General features: G+C 47.5%; 1 protein-coding gene across 55 annotated transcripts in view, besides 4 other annotated features; it reads left to right on the forward strand.

Moving 5' to 3' along the window:
- TACC2 (transforming acidic coiled-coil containing protein 2) overlaps positions 1-18,234 on the forward strand; it is a 265,380-nt gene that overhangs the window by 175,631 nt on the left and 71,515 nt on the right. The window lies entirely within an intron of this gene.
- Positions 7,345-7,918: an enhancer, noted in NCBI's record as "H3K4me1 hESC enhancer chr10:123931653-123932226 (GRCh37/hg19 assembly coordinates)". NCBI's record gives its function as "activates a minimal SCP1, AML or CMV promoter by ChIP-STARR-seq in naive H9 embryonic stem cells {active_cell/tissue: H9 hESC(naive)}" and the evidence as "EXISTENCE:reporter gene assay evidence [ECO:0000049][PMID:30033119]".
- Positions 9,067-9,638: an enhancer, noted in NCBI's record as "H3K27ac-H3K4me1 hESC enhancer chr10:123933375-123933946 (GRCh37/hg19 assembly coordinates)". NCBI's record gives its function as "activates a minimal SCP1, AML or CMV promoter by ChIP-STARR-seq in primed H9 embryonic stem cells {active_cell/tissue: H9 hESC(primed)}" and the evidence as "EXISTENCE:reporter gene assay evidence [ECO:0000049][PMID:30033119]".
- Positions 13,929-14,466: an enhancer, noted in NCBI's record as "OCT4-NANOG-H3K27ac-H3K4me1 hESC enhancer chr10:123938237-123938774 (GRCh37/hg19 assembly coordinates)". NCBI's record gives its function as "activates a minimal SCP1, AML or CMV promoter by ChIP-STARR-seq in naive H9 embryonic stem cells {active_cell/tissue: H9 hESC(naive)}" and the evidence as "EXISTENCE:reporter gene assay evidence [ECO:0000049][PMID:30033119]".
- Positions 15,543-16,080: an enhancer, noted in NCBI's record as "H3K27ac-H3K4me1 hESC enhancer chr10:123939851-123940388 (GRCh37/hg19 assembly coordinates)". NCBI's record gives its function as "activates a minimal SCP1, AML or CMV promoter by ChIP-STARR-seq in primed H9 embryonic stem cells {active_cell/tissue: H9 hESC(primed)}" and the evidence as "EXISTENCE:reporter gene assay evidence [ECO:0000049][PMID:30033119]".

Consider the following 18,234-nt stretch of genomic DNA (forward strand, 5'->3'; position numbering starts at 1 on the left):
CCCCACTTTTCCAGAGAGAAGACTATGTTTCAGAGAAGAGTATTTTCTGGGGACTTGGGGGTAGGGGTAGTAAAGTGGGTTCTTAAGAGTCATGGATGTGTAGATTAAAAGATGGTGGGGATTGATCTGTGTGTTGTAGGAGGGATGGGGCCCCGGGGGGTACTTCCTCACTGGTCCCTCGACCCCTGGGCTTCAGTGAGGAGCTGGCTCGGCGTAGTGATGTAATGCTAGGCTGAGCCTCGTGGTTTTCTGGGCTCCAGCTCTTTAGCAGGGAGTCATTCTTCCGAGCAGGTGTGCACCCATCATTTGTCTTCACCCCTGTAGCTTGAGAAAGCATCGTCTTACAATGGAGGCACATCGCGTTTGAGGATTTTCTTTTTAAATGTTATGATCCTTGTGCTGTGCCTGCCTTGTTTCTCATGCACGTGTAGTGTTGCTAGGTGCATGGAAATACAACTCGAGTCTAGGCAGAAAAGAACCACTTTAACCTATTTTTTGCAAGTCCCTATAGTGGAATTGAGTTAATCAGTGACAGGCACTGGCCAACTCTCACGGCTCAGACCTATCTAGTGAAGAGCTTAGGAAACAGAAAGGACAATGTGACTGTACGTTTGGGAAAATGTGCTCCTCAGTCATTGGAAATTCAGCTCGCCGGTCCCTAACGTCCCCGCCCTCTTTTTCAGCTGAGTTAATAAATGATCAGTGTTCCGTCAGCTGAGGGCCGAGTTTAGATAGCTTCTGTTAGGTAGCTGTGCCTTTTTGGATAAGGTCCCTTAAGGTTCTGCCCACTGGGATAGTGGTGTTTAAATAAAATTTCAGGCTGAATGGCCACATTGTGATGGAAGCTGTTTATCAAATATTTTCACAGTTGAGTTGGTCCATATGCCCCCGCCTGAGGCTTCTCTCCCTAGAACTGCTGCCTCTGAAATGTCTCTAAATATAGATCTTTACGATAGTATATTCACTCATTCACAAAATCCCACCCTCCATCCCGTAACATTTTTGTTCTAAAAAAATGGAGAGAGAGGAAATATTTGGGGCCAGTGCCATTGCTAGCATCTGTCCTCTTCAAAACCCGTCTCTGCTCTCTGAATAACTGGGGCTTATTTTTCTAGTGCAGATGTGCTCTTTCCCAGTCTAGAGGTTTTAAAAATATATATTCGGAGAGTGCCTCTTTTCTGCCCAGGCACAGGTCTTTCTTGGTAGTATTTCCATGCAGCTAAAAATGCATGCACGTGAATAATACACAAGACAGCAACAGAGTGTGGGGCCCATGGCAGGAAAGAGGTTGCATTGTAAGATGATGCCGTCAGGGCTGCAGGGATGGTGACAAACACAGGGTGCGCACCTGCCGCGGGGGACAGCTCCTGACAACCGGAATCTAGAGTGAATGTTTCCCTTTTTCTCTGCTGGTTCCCTGTGAAAGACTGGCTTAAGGAGGGCCATGGTGTAAGAGTGAAATCAAAAGATAGAGGATTTGGAAGTGACTGAAGGATTTTTTTTTAATTTAAATTTTTTAGTTTTAAGATTTCTTTCCTTCCAATTGCAGGTTTGGGGTGCCTTTGGGCAGCTTTTGTAGCTCCAGCTGACAGCTTCATTCTATGCAGGAGTGCATTGGGCTAGGGAGGGAGCGACTTTTGTATCTCCCCTTTTGAGAACTCAGGCATCAAGATTGGAGTAGCAGAAGTCCCATGGGACTGGGGATTGAAGCCTGAGGATGAAGGTGCAAATGGTGACCAGTCTCTTGCTACTCCCAGGGTCGGCCACACATGACAGCATCAGCTTCCCAAAGGGGCTTGCTAGAAACGCAGAGCCTCAGACCTCACCCCAGACCAGCTGAATCAGAATCTCCATTTCATCCAGGGACTTGTAAAGATGCCCAGGTGATTTGTAGGCATCTCAAAATTTGAGAAGCCATGAGCTGGTTCAGTCTTCCCTCCATCCTGTCCATGAGAAACAGCTGGCCACTTCTCTGACTGCTCCTTTCCTATCTGGCAAAGAAGTTCTTGTAGCAATAGTGACCATTTGTTTCTAAATAGAATATGAGTAGCAAGGGGAGGGAGAATTCTCCCACAGAAAACACTTATTTCTCAGTATGGATGGTAGGAGACACAGGAATGGACAGGAAGTACTTGAGTAAATGTGGGCTGCAGCTATTGATCAGACCTGCTGTTCATCCCTTGATTCTGTGGCAGCCCCATGTGGTGTGGCTTCTGCTAAGTGGGGCAGCATTAAGTACTTTGTCCTTTATGTAGTTGGAGACCCCCGTTTCAGGGGTTCCCTCAGCTTCCACCAAATCCCCACACCCTGGCCACTGAAAACCACCCAGGGGGCCATTATCAGAGAGCAAAAGCGGTGGTTCTGTTGGCAAAGTCGGCCTGCCCCGACTGTTGCCCTACTCTCAAAGTGAGCACGTGCCCTTGGCTCTAAAAAACAAATCACAAATATGGAAACCCATACTCTGTAGACCTGTGGATCGAAGTAGAGGGGCCAGGGTGGATGGGAGAGAAGCGATGGAGGAGGAAGCAACAGGCTCTGTGATTGATGAGATGGGGGAGGGAAGAGAAGAGACAGTGGCAAGTACAAAATGGAAGTTTCATACCCTGGTAACTAAGAGAAAGAAGTGGCATTGGCCAAGACAGACAAGAAAACTGGATTGGGAGCTAGTTCGGGGAAGTTGATGAGTTGGCTGAGATTTCAGAAGTGGGTGGGATCAGATGTAGCTGGAGAGAGGCCAGGCAAAAGAAGGATCTCGGGTACCACCGCAGTAGGTAGAGAGATTGGAGCTCTCCACACATCTGTGGTTAGAAGTGGGGTTCTGGTCCCTTCCCTTATGTGGTTCCTGACCTTTTCTTTGGGAGCTGTAGAGAAAATCCGATGACTCTGATCCTGCCCCTCCTGCCTCGCAGGGTTTTTCAGAGGTGAGATGCCACATCTGCAAAGACTCTTGAGAAGACGTAAGTGCCAGAAAACTGCAAAAGTGGAAATGCCCTATGCCTGAAATTGCCAGCCTCTCAGTCACTCAGAAGGCCAGAAACGGTCGCTGGGGCTCTAAGCAGGACTCTTTCTTTAGCTCTCATTAGATCTTTTTCTTTTTCTTTCTTTTTTTTTGAGACAGTGTTTCACTCTGTTGCGCAGGCTCATATGTAACAGTGTGATCACAGCTCACTGCAGCCTCCACCTTCCGGACTCAAGGGATTTTCCTACCTCATCCTCTCAAGTAGCTGGGACTATAGGTACACATCACCATGCCCAGCTTTTTTTTTTTTTTTTTTTTTTAAATAATTTTTTGTAGAGACAGGGGCCTTGCTATGTGGCCCAGGCTGGTCTCTAACTCCTGGGCTCAAGTGAGCCATCTGCTTCAGCCTCCCGAAGTGTTGGGATCACAGGCATGAGCCAGCGCACCCAGCCATAGATCTTTTTCAAGGCTTTGTTTCTTGGGGCAGCCCTTGGCTAAATGCTTTAGCTTAAACGACAGCATTCCTAATGTGAGTTGCAGCCAGTTTCTGAGTTCCTGGACGGAGATTTTACTTTGGATATTACTGTTGGACACAATAGAGTTTTTTCTCCCCTAAAATAGAATAAGCTGCAACATTATCTGTAGAGTGGGAGGGGGAGATTGATTCCCAAAGGAAGCTTGGGTGCATTTTTCCCTGCCATTATTCCTAGATATCACCAGCGTGGCCCTGTGCCTGTGTTCATAAGGGTCCTGGGCCTTCACTATCTTCTCTGGGGGACTTGCCTGGAGGCTTTCTCTTAGGTGGGCTGAAGGCAAATATATTCCGAGGTCCTCCAGGTAGCTACCAATCATCCAAGGGGCCATGCCATGCTAGGGCCCTGGGACAGGGTACCCTGTCGAGGATGGGGTGAACAGCTAGGACTTGGATACTGATTGAGTGTGGCACTGCAGGTGAACATCAGATCAAGGTCAGTGGATTCTGGGTTGCTCTTCCATCGACCCTCCCATTCCCATCCCTGTGTTTCTTTCCACTGTCTACAGCCTGTTTCTGTGGCTAGATTTTTGGTTGCCTAGGAAACAACTTTATTCTGAAACATGATTGGCTGTTCTTGCAGATGGATTACCCAAGCTAGGGCAGTGTTCTGGGGTAAGCAAGTGATGCTGAACAATTCTGTTTCTTCCCTTTAAGATTAATGGTGAGGACTTAGGCATTGTAAGCAATTGTTCTGTGAAAACCAATTGTTCATGGACTGATGCTTTGTTTCAGGTTGGACAGGGGTTTAGGGGAGACTGGTTGGCCACAAAGAACTGACTGAGTCAGAACTGCTCACACACATCTATCCTGTGTTGGAAGCAGTAGCTCAGATGACATTTCTGTTTATATTTACAAATTCACTTTAGCAGTTGTTTCTGGAGTGCAGGTGTGTGCTGTTTAAACGCCATTGCCAAATATGGAAACAGCTGGATGCTGCAGTGTTGAAGCCAGGAGTGAAAAGCCCACTGAGCAGGCTCAGATTCAGCAGAAACTCTTGTGTACCATGTCTGTGTGCTAGGTTTTTTTCATTATAGAAATAATTATATCCCTTAATCCTGCAAGGTGGGTGACTTCTATAGATAAGGAAACTGAGTCCTCTGGATGGTTTAAATTAAGGGAGCAGTAAACTTTCTGTAAAAGACCTCATAGTACATATTTTAGGCTTTCTGGGCCATTCCGTCTTTGTGCAGCATCTCTGCTGTTACAGTTCAAAAGCAGCCAGAGACAACATGTAAATCCATGTTCCAGTAGAGTTTTAGTTGTAAAAACAGACTGCAGGTTGTAGTTTGCTGATTCCTGGTTATACGGATGATTGGTACAGGGCTCAGACTTATGTCCCCTTTGGCCTGGGCAATCTTTGTTTTCTGTTCTCTCTCTCTAAGACATCTCATTTATGCTCATGGACTTAAATAATATGTGCCGATAATGCCCCAATTTATAGCCTTCCCTCTCATCTGAGCACTGTAATTTTCCTTTTTTTTGAGACAGGGTCTCGCTCTGTCACCCAGACTGGAGCACAGTGGCACAATCATGGCTCACTGCAGCCTTCATCTCCCAGGCTCAAGTGATCCTCCTGCCTCAGCCTCCCGAGTAGCTGGGAATACGGGTGCACGCCACCATGCCTGGCTAATTTTTAAATTTTTTGTAAAGACAGGGCCTCCCTATATTGCCCAAGCTGGTCTTGAGCTCCTGGGCTCAAGTGATTCTCCCGCCTTGGCCTCCCAAAATGCTAGGATTACAGGCATGAGCCTCTGTGCCCAGCCTTAATTCAATAGTTTACTTCATATCTCCTCTTGGATTTCTCCTGGATAGCTCAGGCTCAACATGTCCAACGTAGAACTCTGATGACCATCTTCCTCTTAAAACAAAAACAAATGTGCATTCAAACGAACCCAGCCCCACCCCCATCTTCCTCATCTCAACACCTGGGACCTTATTCACCCAGGTGCTCAAACCAGAAACCTGATGATCAAGTCTTTTTTTTTTTTTTTTTTTTTTTTGAGGTGGAGTCTCACTCTGCCCCCCAGGCTGGAGTGAAGTGGCATGATCTGGGCCACATTGCAGCCTCCGTCTCCTGGGTTCAAGCGATTCTCCTGCCTCAGCCTCCCAAGTAGCTGGAAATACAGGTGCACGCCACTGTGCCCAGCTAATTTTTGTATTTTTAGTAGAGACGGGGTTTTAATTTTGTATTTTCAGTAGAGACGGGGTTTCATCATGTTGGCCAGGCTGGTCTCGAACTCCTGACCTCAAATGGTATGCCTGCCTCAGCCTCCCGAAGTGCTGGGATCACAGGCGTGAGCCACTGTGCCTGACCATGATAATCAAGTCTTATCTTCACTTTTCCCTCACCTCTCTTCTTTCTAGAACGGTCCATGTCATTGGACTTCCATGGTTAAAACCTGTATCTGCTTCCCATTGCTTTTAGTCTAAAATCCAAATCCCTTGCTAGCGCCTCCAGGCCCTGCCACCTGGCTCCCGCCGCTCCTCCCCTCGCCTGATGTTCACCAGGATCTGGTCGCCTGTCAGTTCTTTGAACACACAACACCGTCCAGCCTCAGAGACTTAGCACACTCCATCCACTCCCCTCAGCGGGCATCTTCTGCTCCGTCCCTTGGCTGGTCTCTTTTTTCCTGTCTTTATCTCCTTCCACCCAAGGAAGTTGCTGGCTGGGTAGACCAGGAGTCTGCTGCAAGCACTGCAGGGCTTGTGAGGAGGCTGGTGTGTGGCTGTGAGCAGTAGATTAGGGGCCGTGAGCAATAGATTTCCTTTGTTCCTGCATTCTTAGCCCTTACAAAGGAAAGCAGTGGGCCTTTTAAAAAGGAAGGTGGGTCTTTTGTACAGTGCACCCCATGGCTGTGCAATAAATCCGGTGGGGGTGGTGGGCCTCCCCGCAGGTTTTGTACCTGTCTGCCTCCTTATTCAGAAGGACTTGTTTCCTCTGAGTTTCTGCTTTTGCCTTTTCGTCTGCTTTCTCCTTAAATGGAAGTGGATGGATGCAGCTCTTCATGCCTAAAACAGAAGCCTTGGGCTCTGGGCAGAGCAGTGGGGGCCGAGGTAGGGGGGTGGAGGTAGGGTGGGGTGGCCCCTCTGCTCAGGGTTTCCCGGAGCCCTACTGACAGGCAGTCACAGTGGCTCTGTGTCCTTATGGGGCCGAGAACTCAGGCCAGCTGCTGGGCCAAGTTTACCATCAACATTCCAGCTTCACTTACTCCAAGGTGTTTGTGGAGTTCCAGAGTCTGCGGATGTTAGAACTGGAAACATCAGGATTTTAGAAATAACAGAGGGTTTAAATCCCCCAGCACTTCATTTGTGAAATATGACTTAGGCCTTTCCGGCTAGTCATTATTCAAAATAAGTCAGGTAGTCATTTTAATCTTTTCCCTTTAACTTTCAATGTGCTAAAAGAAAATGTTTGTAGGTGGACGTATCATTTGGTAAACTCAAATCAGAGGCCTCTTCCCACGTGGTGAAACAGCTTAGATTGCAAATTCTTTGTCCCATGAGGAAATGCAATGGATGGTTAATTTGGGAATAAAAATGAGCCTCCTTGGGCCCTTGGCCAGGCCCTTCCATGAGTCTTATTAGCCTTGTGTCTTTGCTCTGAAGTATTTTTTTCTTTTCTGTCTCCATACATCTCCTTGGGGATGTTCTAGAGGTCAGTTCCAAGGAAGGTGGGTGTTTACTGTGTTCAGCCCAAGTGGAAAATAGCTGTAGCCATCTTCAGAGAAAGCTGACCCCTCCTGAGGACCAGCAAGCCCAGAGGTGGTTGGACAAACATGTGGGCTCTCGGTACCTGACACCTGTTGAGACTGGCCTGAGTTAAAACCATCCAAGCCTAAATGTGGAGCCCTAGAGATGAGCTAGATTGTACTCAAGGCTGCAGGGATATGACCCATGACTCCTGGGGCCTTAATTTTATGTTTTGACTCGTGGTTACAGCAGGCTATTGGTCTAGGTTGAAGCTTGACATTTAGAAAATACCTGGGCTGCTTTCCGTCTACTGCTGGGTGACAGAATCAGGCAGGGGAGGGCACAGCCTGTTGTTGCTGCCCACCCAGGAGGAGCTGAGTTTGCTGCAGCAGTCCTGTGCCAGCACCACCCTTCCTGGGGCTCAGATCTGGGTCTCTGTACTTGAGAAGCAGCCCACATTCCAAGGGGCTCCAGCCTCTCACGGTGACTCCTCTGTGCCACTTATCCAGGCCCCTGGTGGAAGCTGCACATTGTTCATTGTTCTGCGTTAAAGGGAGGCGCCTACAGTGGTCTGGAAGTATTTTCCCTCCAGGAAGAAGGCGGGAGAGGTTGGCTTTATTAACTTTACTTTAGGGAAAACATCTGCGCACATTTAGATCCTGCATGGAACTTCCCAGCTGAGCCTCTTTCAGAAGAGGATCCTGTGACTGCCCATTGCCTTTCATGAATGGCCCTAAGACGCCGTCCTGGGGCGCAGGGCTGCTGGGGGAGTGAGGAGCATCCCTCACAGCACCAGGCTCTTGTGGGAGGAGGAAGAGCCAGGAGTGCACAGAGGGTGAGCAAGAGCAGACGGGGAGGGCAGGGGGTGAGGGGCAGGCTGTCCCTTTGGCATTCTGGCCTGTGTGTGAGAGCGCTGAGTTTGGACCCCCAAACCTGTGACTAGCGGAGTTTGTGTGAGCAGGCGAAGGCTTGTGACCAGGAGCCTGGGGCCTAAAGAGGTGTTTCTGGGCAGAGCTGTACCCAGAACATCCTCAGACAGGTTTTGCCTGTGGCCTCAGCTTGGGTACCTTTGGTTGCAAGTAGAAAAAAACCAATTCAAACTGACTTAGAGAAAAGAGGGCATATATCGCCTGTGCCTGACAGGTGAGATTCCTACAGGGGTAATTGCTAGGATGGCTTTAGAGAAATGTGCCCTCCTCACCCCAGACAACCCCAAAAAGTCCAAAGCATCAGAGTTTTTGGGTTTTAGAATCACCTTTGATCTAGAACAGCTGACTTACTCCTGTGGCTTCCTGGGGCTGCCTCATCCTCTCTGCAACCTCCTTGGCAGACATACTGGCTTCCAGCTGCTGGGGAAGTTTGTGCCCCAGCCTCAGTGACCCAGAGCCAGGCTGGGGTCTGAAAAGAGAGCGGGGCTCCACGCCCTGGGCTTTGGCTTGGCCCACGAATGCCCCTTAACAGCTCAGATCAGTCTCCTGCCCTAACTGGGGAGGCTGTGGGAGGCAACCTGCTCCTGGGCAACTTCCAGATCTGGCACTTGTCACGAGCATCTTTACGTGCCAGGGCACAGCCTAAGAGAAGTGACACGAGACACAGAAGAGGCAAGAGGCTGGAGGAGTGTGGTCATATGTGGCACTGTGTTCCCAGGAGCCCTGCTGCTGATGGCCCTGGGGTCAGTGGGGAAGAGCACCAGGCAAGAAAGGAAAACATGTCTGTGGAAGGTGGTCCTTTGCCTGCCCTGCGAGATGAGGGGAAGCAGGACTTCAGGAGCCAGAGGTCTTCCTTCTTCATGTCCTTCCTGCCCAGCCTTTCTGGTAACAGATAAGGGAAGAGCATGGCTGAGCCTGCTATGGAGCACACACCATGAAAGCCAGCCCCTCTCTGGGGGCACAGCTCTTACCCTCCAGCCCCATGCACGTTCCAGGCTCCATGACCTGGGGCCAGCAGCCACCTGCTCCCATAGACAGGGAAGTGGGCTAGGCTGGGCTGGGCTGAGCCAAGCCAAGCCTAGGCTGCGGCCAGCGGAGCTCTTCTGCCCGCCTCCTCTCTCCCTTTGTGGGATGGGACTGTCCCTTTTGTCCTGGTCATGCCACAGGGCTCGGTGGACTGTCCAAGGGTTCTTTGTCCTGATTGTAGTTTCTCCATTTCCTCTTTGTTTTTCCACTGGGTGCAACTATCAGTCCATATCTGTGACCTGCATATTTTACCTGGACCAACAAGACAGGTGGCCTAGGGGCTGAGGGTGTGCCTGGTAAACTCAGCCAGCACTCCCAAGATAGAGCCTGCCCAGATCAGCCTTAGCCAGCGATCTCTGCTGTTAAGAACAGTGCAACGCTTTGGCAATACCTCCCAGAAAAATAGCTAGTGGGCAATGGCACTGGCTCAGCGCAGACCTGCCCTAGGTTTCTGGGCACATGACAGTGCCCACTCACTCCATGGGCTTGAGAAGACTGGCATTCAGGGCCTCATTTATGATGTCGGTGAAATGGAATTAACCTCCCACCCGTGTCTCCCTCTCTGTTGCTAAAGAATTCTGTAGGTAAGAAAGAGAATGCATAAAGCGTTTAGGGAACCAGGAGAAGAATTGGTGCATAAAACGTTCGTGAAACACTATGCTCCTGTTTTTTTTTAAATTGAGAAATAAAAATTCCATTGTAGAATGGCTAAATCAAGCTAATTAATGTATTACCTCCCCTCCTTTTTGTGTGTGTAGAATACACTTAAAATCTACTCTGTTACCAATTTTCAAGTATATAGCACATTGTTATTGACTAGATAGAGTCACTAAGTTGTACAATAGATCTAACTGTTGAACTAACCAGTAGTTGAACTAATTTCTCTTAGCTGACTGAAGTTTTGTGCCTTTGACCAACATCTCTCCCCCATGTCCCAGCCTCTGGTAAACAGCATTCTACTCTCTGCTTCTATGAATTTGGCTTTATTTCAGATTCCCCATGAAAAGGCGATCACTGTGGGTTTCATTTATTTTTAAATTTTATTTACTTATTTTGAGATAGGGTCTTATTCTGTTGCCCAGGCTGGAGTGCAGTGGCACAGTCATGGCTCACTGCTGCTTCAACCTCCCCAGGCTCAGATGATCCTCCCATCTCAGCCTCCCTAGTAGCTGGGACACCCCTGGCTAATTTTTGTATTTTTTATAGAGATGAGGTTTCTGCCATGTTGCCCAGGCTGGTCTCTAACTCCAGAGGTCAAGCAATTCTCCTGCCTTGGCCTCCCAAAGTGCTGGGATTACAGGCATGAGTCACTGCACCTGGCCTGGCTTTGTATTTTAAATACAGCATAATTCTTGGTGAAGAAAAACACTGAAACACTGATGCATTGTGGAAAAGGATACATTAGTTAATGTGGGAAAGGATACATTGGTTAATATGGGAAAGGATACATTAGTTATCACTCCTGAACTGTTTGTAACAACAAGGAAACCCCTTCATTCCCGTGCTAATCCTCAGAAACAAACCTGCCCAGACCCCGTTCTGTCCAGAATGCAGTTTCTGTTCTTTGTGCTCACTCCTTGGGTTCACATATTGCATTTCTCGATGTAGGCTCAAAATTATGTGAATTTTTATTTTTCTGGATACTGTTTTTCTTCCACTTCTTCAAATGTGACTATGCTTTCAAAAATTCAGAGCTTAAATGCCTGTGAGAGGAAAGGAACCGAAGGTGTAGGGGTGACCAGGTACGGACTTTCCTGGAGACTGTCTGAATTGTCTACAACTCAGGGACCAGGGAAATATCTTCTCACTATCCAGAGATAATATTTTATTGGTCAAAAATATTAGAAAATGGGCCGGGTACAATAGCTCAACGCTTGTAATCCCAGCACTTCAGGAGGCTGAGGCAGGTGGATTGCTTGAGCTCAGGAGTTAGAGACCAGCCTGTGCAACATGGCCAGCATGGCAACATGGCAAAACCCTGTTTCAAAAAGTACAAAAATTAGCTGGGTGCGGTGGTGCACGCCTATAGTCCCAGTTGCTTGGGAGGCTGAGGTGGGAGGATCGCTTGAACCCAGGAGTTGAGGCTGCAGTGAGTCGTGTTTGCACCACTGCACTCTAACCTGAACAACAGAGCAAAACCTTCTCTCTCTCTCTCTCTCTCTCTCTCTCTCTCTCTCTCTCTCTCTATATATATATATATATATATATATATATGAAGATGAAATTGGAGTAGTCAAGTTGTAAGATAGAAAAGGCCAAAGTAGAATGGTGGCTGCAGATGAAGATTGGGTACCACTCAAGATGGCTTTCATTCTGAGTTTTCACATTTGTAAACTCAGAGGTCTGGCTCTTTTAATATATGGGTCCTTATTCTTAGAAGTAGGAGGCTGGCTTTGTCATTTAGGATTGTTTGGAAATTGGCATTCCTGAAATTCTCCCTTCAGGTCCTCCCTGGTCAATAAAGAACTTTGACTCTTGCGCCCTCGGTTGGACAGTGGTTTTGTGCATCAGAGGCTCCCACAGGGGAGTTGTTGGGAATAGGCTGGCTCTTGTTCTGTGAGGGACTAGGGGACTCATGCTGGTGCTCATAGCTCATCAAGAGTCGTAGCATTTTACTTAGTATCCCATTGTATGTGTAGACAAATATAGATTTTTTTTTCTCTGTAGAATGTGTGGCCTTGTAGATAACCATGCAGATTCAAGCTGCTGAAAGGCCTGATGTGGCCCTAGAAAGCCAGAATTTGAATGAGATTAGTCACAGCAAGTCAGCAAATGTGGGAGATGGAAAACTGGCTTCCTCCACCCACCTAGGTTCTTTGGCTGGGCTACAAATTAAATGGACATAAAATAGATTAACAGGAGAAAAAACACAGTAATTATGTGTATATGCCTGGGAGTCCCACAAAATATGAGACTCAAAAGAAGGGTCCGAAGAGGGAAGCTTATATAGCCCCCTGAGCCACAGAAAGGAATAGGGACCTGGGGCTTCTGGTGGGTGGTGGAGACAAGTTATGGAAGAGTGAGGGGAGGAAGTGTAGGGTGAGTAAATGTGGTCTTGTTATGCCCATAAAATCTCTTGGTACATCACAGTTGCCTGGAGCAGCCCCAGTCCTGATAGAGATACTTTACTAATGTAGATTTTCTTGATGGATATCATTGTGTTTTACAAAAGGGCAGCTTTTCAGAGCCACTCCTGTGTCTGCAGTTTCTCAGAATAACCAGCCCCAAATATGACAAGTATAGTTTGGGGTGGTATATTCTGGCCTCCTACAGTTGCATTTTGGGGTGGTATTGTCCCGAGCCCCAACACAGAAAAGGAGGGCAGTAGGAATTTAAGAATTTCAGATAAAGCATTCTCATTTTGGAAGGAGCAGTGGAGGGAGGCTGGAACAGAGAGAAAGTCAACTGCATTTGGAAGATGCAGTTTGAAAAACAATGAGATGTTTGTGCACAGGGCCTTTTAAAAATTATAATGATGGGAGGATGGAGTTGCAGGGATGATGGCATGAACCTATAATCCCAGCTGCTTGGGAGGCTGAGGCAGGAGGGTCACTTGAGCCCAGGAGTTCAAGGCTACAGGGCACAATGATTGCACCTGTGAATAGCCACTGCATTCCAGCCTGGGTAACATAGTGAGACCTGTCTCTAAAATAATAAAATGATGGCCCAGGGAGTGGATGGCTCAGAGGTGAAAGGTTTTCTGAGCAGCAGGAGAATGAAGCTGGGGAGGAGATAAGGCCCAAGCCTCTGGGGCCATGATCTGTGATCGCAAACAAACAGGATTATTCTGTCGCAGAAAGAATTGGGAGTGTGGATTTCAGAGGTGTACAGGGGCGAAACTTGGGAATGGCCCTTCCAGAACTGCCATGGTCCCTGCTAGAAGCTCCAGATCCTGGGTAGAACAACATGCCCCAGATTCACTGAGGAGGTGAAGGAGCAGCATTTCATGCCTCTGAGAGGCCCCTGAACCCTGGATTTACCCTGGGTTCAGGTGTCAGTAAGCAAGTCTGCCAAGATCGAAGATGGACAACATTTAATATACAATGATAGGATAGCTGAGCTCACCTCTGGATATCTTAGACTTTTTGGGCTGCTACAACAAAATCCCATAAATTGAGTGGCTTATAAATAACATAAATTTATTTCTAACAGTTTTGGAGGCTGGGAAGTCTTAGATGAAGTTAGATTTGGCTTATGGCGAAAGCCTGCTTTCTGGCTCATAGCACCTTCTTGCTGTGTCCTTGCATGGTGGCAGGAGTGAGGGGTCTCTGTACGGCCTCTTTTATAAGGGTTTTTTTCTTTCTTTCTTTTTTTTTTTTTTTTGAGACAGTCTTGCTCTTGTCGCCTAGGCTGGAGTGCAGTGTCGTGATCTTTGTTCACTGCAACCTCCACCTCCCAGGTCCAAGCGATTCTCCTGCTTCAGCCTCCCTAGTATCTGGGATCACAGGCACACACCACCACACGTGGCTAAGTTTTGTATTTTTAGTAGAGGCAAGGTTTCCTCATGTTGGTCAGGCTGCTCTCAAACTCCCGACCTCAGGTGATCTGCCCTCCTAGACCTCCCAAAGTGCTGGGATTACAGGCATGAGCCACCGCGCCCTGCCAGTTCTTCGTTATTTCTGATGTTTGATCAGCGCATCCTGTGCTGAGTTAAGAAAACAGGATAAAGGGTCAGGCGCAGTGGCTCACGCCTGTAATCCCAGCACTTTGAGAGGCCAAGGCAGGTGGATCACTTAAGGCCAGGAATTTGGGACCAGTCTGGCCAACATGGTGAAACCTCGTCTCTACTAAAATTACAAAAAATCAGCCATGGGGTTGTGCGCCTGTAGTCCCAGCTACTCGGAGGCTGAGGTGGGAGGATCACCTGAGCCTTAAAGTTTGAGGCTGCAGTGAGTGGTGATCAGGCCACTGCACTCCAGGCTGGGCAGAGTGAGACCCTGTCTCAACAAAACAAAACACAGGATAAACCCCTACTGTTTTTAAAGCAATTTACATTACAATTCCAAGTGAAACCAGAAGCATGACTTTTAAGTAGCAGGAACATTGAGATAATGGAAAACTTGGAGCCTTTGAGAAAACAAAGCACAAAGCTGCTCTTGAACACCTTGCCATGAAAGTAACAAAACGCTGAAGCATGTTTATAAGTCAGGGCTGAAAATCATGATGAAGAGGAAAAGCCAGGTGACTGCTGTCAGTTTCAATACCTTATCCTGTTTCTTTTATCATGAAATTGAGTAGTTCGTCAGCAAGAAGGTCAGGTCTGAGCATCTATTTAAACTCTTAACCTTGAGACTGTGATGCTTATGTGATGTGGGAAATTGTATCTGCTCATTAGAGCTCTGATATGTAATTGAAATCTGAGATTACTTATCTGCCTTGTCGTATTTAAACCACTGATTATGGCTCTGACATTTTTGTTACTCTTCAATCAACCAGTATATAAAGGATTCAGAATCTCTTGGAATTAAGAAAAAGCTATTATCTTCCTGGTATCAATTATAGCGCAAGTAAAAAGCAATGCCTTTTTTAGCCAAAACTTTGCAAAAGTACATGCTGGGATCTCAGATCTTTCCTTGATGCCCTTCACTTTAACCCCTACTTTTATGTGTGACACAAACCCGGCCACTTCTCACCTTGGAGGCGAGCAAGCTCCATACCCTTCTTCCACTCCTGCTCCTGCTGCTGTTGTTACAGCTGTCAGAATGGCCTTCTAAAAACAACTCAGGGGCCAGGCCTGGGGGCTCATGCCTGTAACCCCAACACTTTAGGAAGCCGAGGCAGGAGGATCACTTGAGCCCAGAAGTTTGAGACCAGCCTGGGAAACATTGGGAGCCCTTGTTTCTACAAAAAATGTTTTTAAAAAATTAGCAGACGTGGTGGCTTACACCTGTAGTCCCAGTTATTTGGGAGGCTGAGGCGACAGGATCACTTGAGCTCAGTAGTTTGAGACCAGCCTGGGTAGCATAGGGAGCCACCATCTCTACAAAAAATAAAAAAAAAATATAGCCGGGAGTGGTGGCGTGTATCCATGGTCCCAGTTACTCAGGAGGCTGAGGTTCAGAGGATCGCTTGAGCCCAAGAGGTCGAGGCTGCAGTGAGCCATGATTGCGCCACTGCACTCCAGCCTGGGCAACAGAGTGAGACGGTGTCTCCAAAAAAACAGGCGAGTCCTTTCCCCGTGTAACCCTCAGTGGCTTTCAGACTCCTCATGGGTCTCAGCGAGGCCAGGTCATTGTCATTGTTACCTGCTTCTTGGGTCTCCTGGCAAACTTTCTCCTCGTTGCCTGCTTTGTTTTCTTAAATGGCCTGAAGCCCATTCCTTGAACCTGCCACCCTCCTTCCCCCTCCCACCTCAGGGCTCTTCATCTTTTTGTTCTCCCTGCCTGAAACTTTCTTCCCCCCAGTTCTTTTTTTTTTTTTTTGGGTTAATAGTCTGGCTTTGTCGCCCAGGCTGGAGTGCAGTGGCGCAATTTCAGCTCACTGCAAGCTCCGCTTCCCAGGTTCACGCCATTCTCCTGCCTCAGCCTCCCGAGTAGCTGGGACTACAGGCGCCCGCCACCACACCCGGCTAATTTTTTTGTGTTTTTGGTAGAAACGAGGTTTCACCATGTTAGCCAGGATGGTCTCGATCTCCTGACCTTGTGATCCACCTGCCTCGGCGTCCCGAAGTGCTGGGATTACAGGCATGAGCCACCGCACCCGGCCTCTTCCCTCGAGTTCTAATGACTGACTCTTTTTTCACTCTTCATGTCTCAGCTTTGAGAAGCCTCCCTTCCCAGGGAGTGCAAGAGGAATAACTTATTTTATTTTTTATTTTTTTTGAGACGGAGTCTCGCTCTGTTGCCGAGGCTGGATGGAGTGCAATGGCGCAGTCTCGGCTCACTGCAAACCTCTGCCTCCCAGGCTCAAGCGATTCTCCTGCCTCAGCCTCTCCTGCCTCAGCTGGGATTACAGGCACGCGCCCCCATGTCCACCTAATTTTTATATTTTTAGTAGAGACAGGGTTTCACCATGTTGCCCAGGCTGGTCTTGAACTCCTGACCTCAGGTGATCCACCCACCTCAGCCTCCCAAAGTGCTGGGATTACAGGCATGAGCCACCGCGCCCGGCCAAGAGGGAGAAATTTTAAGGCATCCTAGAGCCTAGAACAAACAATGCCAGCCAGCCCTTCTTCTGTTTGGCTGATTACAGTTTCTCTCTTGAGTGGCTGTGAATTAATTCAGTAAATATTCAAGTGAAATTTATTGCTTAGTTTTACAATTCCTCGCCCACAGCCACTTTAGCAGTATGTGTCTGTGTGTGCATGTTGGAGGGGGCATTGTTGGATGTGTGGGAAGAGCAAGAAAATCACATTCTTTTTGCATCGCTCTGTAAACTCATGAATCATTGGTACAGCTGTCCCCTGGCTACTGGGAGCATGGCCGTGCTTTATGTTTCTTTATTGTGTTAAGGTGAAAGATGCAATAATTTTGGTGGTAGAATTTTAACACTTTGAGGACTGGAGCCAGTAAATACCTTCTAAGTGCCTGGGATTGTGCAAGGTGCTTTACAAATATAAACTCAGCTCTGAAAGCAACCCATCTACTACCTACTGTTGCCCATTGCATAGACAAAGAAACTGAGGTCCAGGGATGTTAAGTAACCTGTCCAAAGTTACTCACCTCTCATGAATTTGGAACCAGATCAGTTGATGCTCATATTTGATGGCTGTGGTGCTGTTTTCTCCTACAAGATGTCAGAATCGTGTAATTCGTATATTAAGTGCTTTAATTTAGACTTTATCATTTCAGAATTTTTAATAAGTGGGTTAAAGAGTGAGTTGAGGATGCTGCATTATGTATGAGAGAACAGTGTGAAAACATCGGAAGCAGGAAAAGCACATTTTCAAGGCATTGAACAATACTTATTCCCTACAATTAGTGTGCTGTTTACCAGCTATTCTTTTTCTTTTTTTTATCATGTAAAGAGGTTAGAAGAAAGGAACAAAAGATTTAAGTCTTCCTTCCTCGTGATTGTACTGCTTTATTGCACTGCTTGCAGACTGCAGTAGAAAATAAGCTTTTAAGACTTTCTAGATTTTCAGGCTTTCTACTAAGCTGTTGTAGCTTCTCCATCCCACATCTGGGTTTGCTCACTTTATTTCTATGTGCCAAATCATGATTGAGACTCGTTGAGACACACAGTAGACCACAGGTTGCCATATTTAGCAGAGCAGGGAAAGAACTCTGGAGAGTTTGCCTTTTTGATTAGGGAGAAACGCTGTGGGAGGTATTTGTTGAGCAGCTACTCTGGGCAGGACCCTGAGAACTATCAATTTTTGGATGCGTGAAATAGACCAAACATGAAACCTGCTCTGGACGCAGGTTCTCTCTGAATCAGGCAAAGCTTCAGGCCTCTGAAGGCCTCATTCAGGAGCATGTTATCCATGGCAGGGAGGGTGTGATGCCTGATTAAAATTCCAGCTGCTTGGCTCCCACCAGGAGCTCACCACGATTTCTGAGTTGCTTGGGATTTAGCCAACTGGTTTGCAAACTGCATGTAAGGTGTGTCTGTGTTTGTTAAAAACAATGACTTCTCAGCAGGACTCAGTAATGGGTTTCCACGGAGAGAAACATTACCAAGAGATGAATGCAGGGGCGTGATTGTCCTGTGCACTAAGAGCCTTCAAATCCTTTCCCCATATTTGCAAGGTGTTGAAGTACCGCTTTTAAGGCAAAACTAAATGACGAGTTATAAAGTCAAAACACGTGAGCTTTAATTATTGCTGGAATAAGCGGGATTCTCATCAGCAGGGCAGCTTCCAGATGTGCTTTTCTTCATTTTGACTAGATAGGGAGAAGAGTGAGGGGGCATGGCGTGGAGAAAGAAAGGTAGATATACAAGAGGCGGAGACTCAGGCGCAGGTAGAGTCAGAGGCAGGTTCAAAGACACACAGAGACACATAGGTGAAGATACATTCGATGTAAACAGCTTAGGAGCCAGGTCGGGCCTGGTGGCTTCTAAGCTCATATCTGTAATCCTGGCTCTTTCGGAGGCCAAGGTGGGTGGATCGCTTGAGGCCAGGAGTTCGAGACCAGCCTGGCCAAGATGGCGAA

The sequence above is a fragment of the Homo sapiens genome, chromosome 10 (assembly GCF_000001405.40).
Source record: "Homo sapiens chromosome 10, GRCh38.p14 Primary Assembly".
Taxonomy (NCBI): Eukaryota; Metazoa; Chordata; class Mammalia; order Primates; family Hominidae; genus Homo; species Homo sapiens.